Source organism: Homo sapiens, chromosome 10, assembly GCF_000001405.40.
Source record: "Homo sapiens chromosome 10, GRCh38.p14 Primary Assembly".
Classification (NCBI taxonomy): Eukaryota; Metazoa; Chordata; class Mammalia; order Primates; family Hominidae; genus Homo; species Homo sapiens.
Genome location: NC_000010.11, coordinates 90,297,138 through 90,303,253, shown reverse-complemented (window position 1 = coordinate 90,303,253; position 6,116 = coordinate 90,297,138). Strand labels below are relative to the sequence as shown.

The window sequence follows — 6,116 nt, the reverse complement described above, 5'->3', positions numbered from 1 at the left end:
CAGGCAGTTACTGAGCTGGTGTCCTTGCAGAAATATTTTTTATGTGTGTATAAGGTTATGATGTGGCCTTTGTACAAGGTCAGACTCTTTTGTGATAGTTCATGTTTCCAGGCATTTGTGCATGAGAATGCTCTCTTCATGGCCTTCTCCGGCTTTATTTGTCAGGGTTTTTTTTTTTTTTTTCTTCACCTAACGCAAGTGACTTCATTTTACTTCTGACGACTTCACACTTCTCTATAGAGTTGTCCTCAACTCTTACTCTCAAGACAAGAACTAGCAGTACCCAGCGCTGTTTCCACACAGAAACAGGAGGCTAGTATTGTTAACACATGCTTCTCAGTGGTGCTCACTGCTTTGGGTTCTCACTCAGATTCTTGTTGAACCCAGCCACAGTAGGATGAATTTTCCCATAAGAAGTTACAATTGCATAATGTGTCCTTTGAACAGGCCCACTTCTTCAAAATTGCATTTTACGTTGATAAATGTAAAATTTGTAAACGGCCAATGCACTTGTCTCACTGTACCATACAATTTTTAGCTGAGAAGATATTCTTCCTGCAGGTTGTGTTACCTGGTAAGTTTAGAGCACATTCTCCTAAATGAGGAATTTATCACTTCTATTTTTTAAATTACTAAAATATGTAAATGTGGGGAAAAGAAAGAGAGATCAGATTGTTACTGTGTCTGTGTAGAAAGAAGCAGACATAAGAGACTCCATTTTGTTCTGTACTAAGAAAAATTCTTCTGCCTTGAGATGCTGTTAGTCTGTAACTTTACCCCCAACCCTGTGCTCCCTGAAACATGTGCTGTGTCAATTTAGGGTTAAATGGCTTAAGGGCTGTGCAAGATGTGCTTTGTTAAACAAATGCTTGAAGGCAGAATGCTTGTTAAGAGTCATCACCACTCCCTAGTCTCAAGTACCCAGGGACACAAAACACTGCGGAAGGCCGCAGGGACTTCTGCCTAGGAAAGCCAGGTATTGTCCAAGGTTTCTCCCCATGTGATAGCCTGAGATATGGCCTCGTGGGAACGGAAAGACCTGACCATCCTCCAGCCCGACACCCTGTGCTGAGGAGGATTAGTAAAAGAGGAAGGAACTCCTCTTTGCAGTTGAGACAAGAGGAAGGCATCTGTCTCCTGCCCGTCCCTGGGCAATGGAATGTCTCTGTGTAAAACCCGATTGTATATTCCACCTACTGAGATAGGGGAAAACCACCTTAGGGCTGGAGGTGGGACAGGCAAGCAGCAATACTGCTCAAGGCATTGAGATGTTTATGTATATACATATCTAAAGCACAGCACTTAATTCTTTACCCAGTTAATGATGCAGAGACCTTTGTTCGTGTGTTTACCTGCTGACCTTCTCTCCACTATTATCTTATGACCCTGCCACATCCCCCTCTCCGAGAAACACCCAATAATGATCAATAAATACTAAGGGAACTCAGAGGCCGGTGAGATCCTCCTTGTGCTGAAGGCTGGTCTCTTGGGCCCCCTTTTTCTTTCTCTATACTTTGTTTCTGTGTCTCTTTCTTTTCCAAGTCTCTCGTTGCACCTAACAAGAAAAACCCACAGGTGTGGAGGGGCAACCCACCCCTTCATGTAAATATTTTCACCCTAATATTTTCATAGCTGCAGTAGTTTTTGCCACTTTTCAGGGTACATTTTAAGAGAAAATGTTCATAAAATCAGTCACCTTTAATTATAATTCTTGAGAATGTTTCCCAATGTGTATGCTAAAAACAATACGCCTTCTCAATTACATTACATTCCAGTTCGAAATACAATTTATACACAAATTTATCTATTTTCATAGAAGCTCTATTAAAATAACTTTCTTACAAAGTAAAATATCAAAAGTAAAATGATTGAAAATTAAAGGTAAATCTTGTATATTATTTGAATTCTCATTAAAAACAAGTTCAGCTTCTCTCTTTTTTGGGATAAACTTCAATATCTTTCCCTTTGAAAGCTTTGTTTTCAGTAATTCCTGTTTGCTGAAAGCTTCAAAGTCTGACATTTTGTGGTGGTTCATTTGTTGAATGGTTTAAGTGAACATTCCCAAATAATTTTCAATAAGGTATACCAAAATGTACCAAATTTACAATAAAATACTGTAACATTTTTAAATTTGCAAAATTTATCAAAAAATTATGAAAGAAGTTTTTCCTGTTATAAGGCATTTAGATTGACTTTTAAAGTAGGTCTTCTAATGTGCAACATTTAAAAAATCCTTTTGGTGATTGGGAATAGCGAGATTGCCTATTATTTTGAGGAAATTTACATTGTATTTATCATTGGCTTCATCACAAAATTATTTAGGTTGGTTACTCTAATTGTGTGTATGGGGTGAATCAGAGCAATACACAAACTATAAAAATAATAGATATTGCTCTAATTGTATTATATACCTATAAATTATATAATTCTATAAATTATAAGTTACTAATAAAATATTGACAACTTCTATTTCTATCAGGCTAATCAAGCTAATCAGCTTGTTCAAATACAAATGTAAATTACATTTGCACTTTCATGCGTGTGAAGAGACCACCAAACAGGCTTTGTGTGAGCAACATGGCTGTTTATTTCACCTGGGTGCAGGCGGACTGAGTCCGAAAAGAGAGTCAGCAAAGGGAGATAGGGGTGGGGCCATTTTATAGGATTTGGGAAGGTAATGGAAAATTACAGTCAAAGGGGGTTGTTCTCTGGTGGGCAGGGGTGGGGGGTCACAAGGTGCTCAGTGGGGGAGCTTCTGAGCCAGGAGAAGGAAATTCACAGGGTTAATCACTCAGTTAAGGTGGGGCAGGAACAAATCACAATGGTGGAGTGTCATCAGTTAAGATGGGGCAGGGCCTTTTCACTTCTTTTGTGATTCTTCAGTTACTTCAGGCCATCTGGGCGTATATACGTGCAAGTCACAGGGGATGCGATGGCTTGGCTTGGGCTCAGAGACCTGACATTCCTGCCTTCTTATATTAATAAGAAAAATAAAACAAAATAGTGTTGCAAGTGTTGGGGCGGCGAAAATTTTTAGGGGGTGGTATGGAGAGAGAATGGGCGGTGTTTCTCAGGGCTGCTTCAAGCGGGATTAGGGGCGGCGTGGGAACCTAGAGTGGGAGAGATTAAGCTGAAAGGAGATCTCGTGGTAAGGGGTGATATTGTGGGGTTGTTATAAGAAACATTTGTTGTATAGAATGATTGGTGATGGCCTGGATACGGTTTTGTATGAAATGAAAAACTAAATGGAATAAGAAGGAGAAAAACAGGTATAAAAGGTCTAAGAATTGGGACGACTCAGGATATCTGATTAGAGAGTGCCTGAGGAGATTCAGCATATTCCTGCCAGCGGAGATTATTTATTTACTTCAAGAGTTAAGAGTGGCAGTTTGGGGATAGCACCAGGAGATATCAGCTGTGATGGCTTGGAGAAGCAGTGTAAACCGGCAGTGTAAACAAGAGCAGGGCATGTATGAGTAGTTGAGAATGGAGAATAGGAGTATGACTAGACAGAAAATAGTAGGGATGACAAGTTTTTTGGGGGCACAGTCTAAGTTGGTCCGGTGTCTGGAATGAGACTGGGGCCTAATAAAAAGGAGCATCTATACAGGAGCTTAAATGGGCTGTACCTTGTAGCATTCTGAGGACAGGCCTGAATTCTGAGAAGCAGAAGCGGTAAAAGTATTGTCCAGTCCTTTTTAAGTTGGTGGCTGAGCTTGGTGAGGTGTGTTTTTAAAAGACCTTTAGTCCGTTCTACTTTTCTTGAAGAGGGAGGACCGTAAGGGATATAAAGGTTTCACTGAATACTAAGAGCCTGAAAAACTGCTTGGCTGATTTGACTAATAAAGGCTGGTCTGTTATCAGACTGTATAGAGGTGGGAAGGCTAAACTGAGGAATTATGTCTGACAGAAGGGAAGAAATGACTACGGTGGCCTTCTCACACCCTGTAGGAAAGGCCTTTACTTATTCAGTGAAAGTGTCTATTTAGACTAAGAGGTATTTTAGTTTCCTGACTTGGGCATGTTGAGTAAAGCTAATTTGCCAGTCCTGGGTGGGGGCAAATCCTGGAGCTTGATGTGTAGGGAAGGGAGGGGGCCTGAATAATCCCCGAGGAGTAGTAGAATAGCAGATGGAACACTGAGAAGTTATTTCCTTGAGGATAGATTTCCACGATGGAAAGGAAATGAGAGGTTCTGAGAGGCGGGCTAGTGGCTTATACTATAGCATAGCCTGCCTTTGCTGGTATGTGGTGATTAGGCCTGGTGGAACTGCCATCAATAAATCAAGCGTGATCAGGGTGAGGAACAGGAAAGAAGGAAATATGGGGAAATGGGGTGAATATCAGGTGGATCAGAGAGATACAGTCATGGGGGTCAGGTGTGGTATCAGGAATAATGTGGGCAGCCAGATTGAAGTCCGGGCCAGGAACAATGGTAATTGTGGGACTTAACAAAGAGTGAGTACAGCTGAAGGAGCTGGGGAGCAGAAAGTATATGCGTCAGGTATGAGGAAGAAAATAGATTTTGGAAGTTATGAGACATGTAGAGAGTGAGTTGAGCATAGTTTGTGATTTTTAGGGCCTCCAAAAGTATTAAAGCAGCGGCAGCCTCTGCACGCAGACATGAGGGCTAGGCTAAAACAGTAAGGTCAAGTTGTTTGGACAGAAAGGCTACAGGGTGTGGTCCTGGCTCTTGTGTAAGAATTCTGACCGCACTAACCATGCCTAGGAAGGAAAGGAGTTGTTGTTTTGTAAGGGATTGAGGTTTGGGAGATTAATCGGACATGATCAGCAGGGAAAGCACGTGTGTTTTTATGAGAATTATGCCGAGATAGGTAACAGATGAGGATGAAATTTGGGCTTCACTGAAGTAATGGGGGCTGTTTGTGAAGCCTCGTGGCAGTACAGCCCAGGTAATTTGCTGGGCCTAATCGGTGTCAGGGTCAGTCTAAGTGAAAGCAAAGAGAGGCTGGGATGAAGGGTGCAAAGGAATAGTAAAGAAAGCATGTTTGAGATTAGAACAGAATAATGGGTAGTAGAGGGAGCTATTGAGGATAGGAGAGTATATGGGTTGGCACCACGGGGTGGATAGGCAAAACAATTTGGTTGATAAGGCGCAGATTCTGAACTAACTTGTAAGCCTTGTCTGGTTTTAAGACAAGTAAAATGGGGGAATGGTAAGGAGAGTTTATAGGGTTTAAAAGGCCATGCTGTAGCAGGCGAGTGTTAACAGGCTTTAATCCTTTCAAAGTGTGCTGTGGGATGGGATATTGCCGTTGAGCGGGGTAAGGGTGATTAGGTTTTAATGGAATGGTAATGGGCATGTGATCGGTTGCCAGGGAAGGAGTAGAGATGTCCTATACTTGTGGGTTAAGGTGGCGGGATATGAGAGGAAGACTCGAAGGAGGCTTTGGGTTGGGGAGAAGGGCGGCAATGAGATGTGGCTGTAGTCTAGGAAGAGTCAGGGAAGCAGATAATTTGGTTAAAATATCTCGGCCTAATAAGGGAACTGGGCAGGTGGAGATAACTAAAAAAGAGTGCATAAAAGAGTATTGTCTAAGTTGGCACGAGAGTGGGGGAGTTTTAAGAGGTTTAGAAGCCTGGCCGTCAATACCCACAACAGTTATGGAGGCAAGGGAAACAGACCCTTGAAAAGAAGGTAATGTGGAGTGGGTAGCCTCCATATTGATTAAGAAGGGGATGGACTTACCCTCCACTGTGAGTTACCTAAAGCTCGGCATCCGTGATGGTCTACGGGGCTTCTGAGGTGATCAGGCAGCGTCAGTCTTCAGCCGGTAAGCCAAGAAGGAGTCAGTCAGAGAGCCTTGGGCCAGAGTTCCAGGAGCTCTGGGAGTGGCTGCCAGGTGAGTTGAACAGTCCGATTTTCAGTGGGGTCCCACACAGATGGGACGCGGCTTAGGAGGAATCCCGGGCTGCGGGCGTTCCTTGGCCCAGTGGCCAGATTTCTGGCATGTGTAGCAAGTTCCTGGGGGAGGAGGTTCTGGAGAAACGCCTGGCTGCTACAGTTCAGGCGTTTGGAAGTTCTTGTGTGCTGGAGATGTGGCTGGGGTTTGTCTCACAGTGGAGGCAAGGAATTGCATCTTTTTTCTGTTATTG

At 42.9% G+C, this 6,116-nt stretch overlaps 2 annotated features.

Annotated features, from left to right (window-relative positions):
* Positions 451-963: an enhancer, noted in NCBI's record as "NANOG-H3K27ac hESC enhancer chr10:92062048-92062560 (GRCh37/hg19 assembly coordinates)". NCBI's record gives its function as "activates a minimal SCP1, AML or CMV promoter by ChIP-STARR-seq in naive H9 embryonic stem cells {active_cell/tissue: H9 hESC(naive)}" and the evidence as "EXISTENCE:reporter gene assay evidence [ECO:0000049][PMID:30033119]".
* Positions 964-1,476: an enhancer, noted in NCBI's record as "NANOG-H3K27ac hESC enhancer chr10:92061535-92062047 (GRCh37/hg19 assembly coordinates)". NCBI's record gives its function as "activates a minimal SCP1, AML or CMV promoter by ChIP-STARR-seq in naive H9 embryonic stem cells {active_cell/tissue: H9 hESC(naive)}" and the evidence as "EXISTENCE:reporter gene assay evidence [ECO:0000049][PMID:30033119]".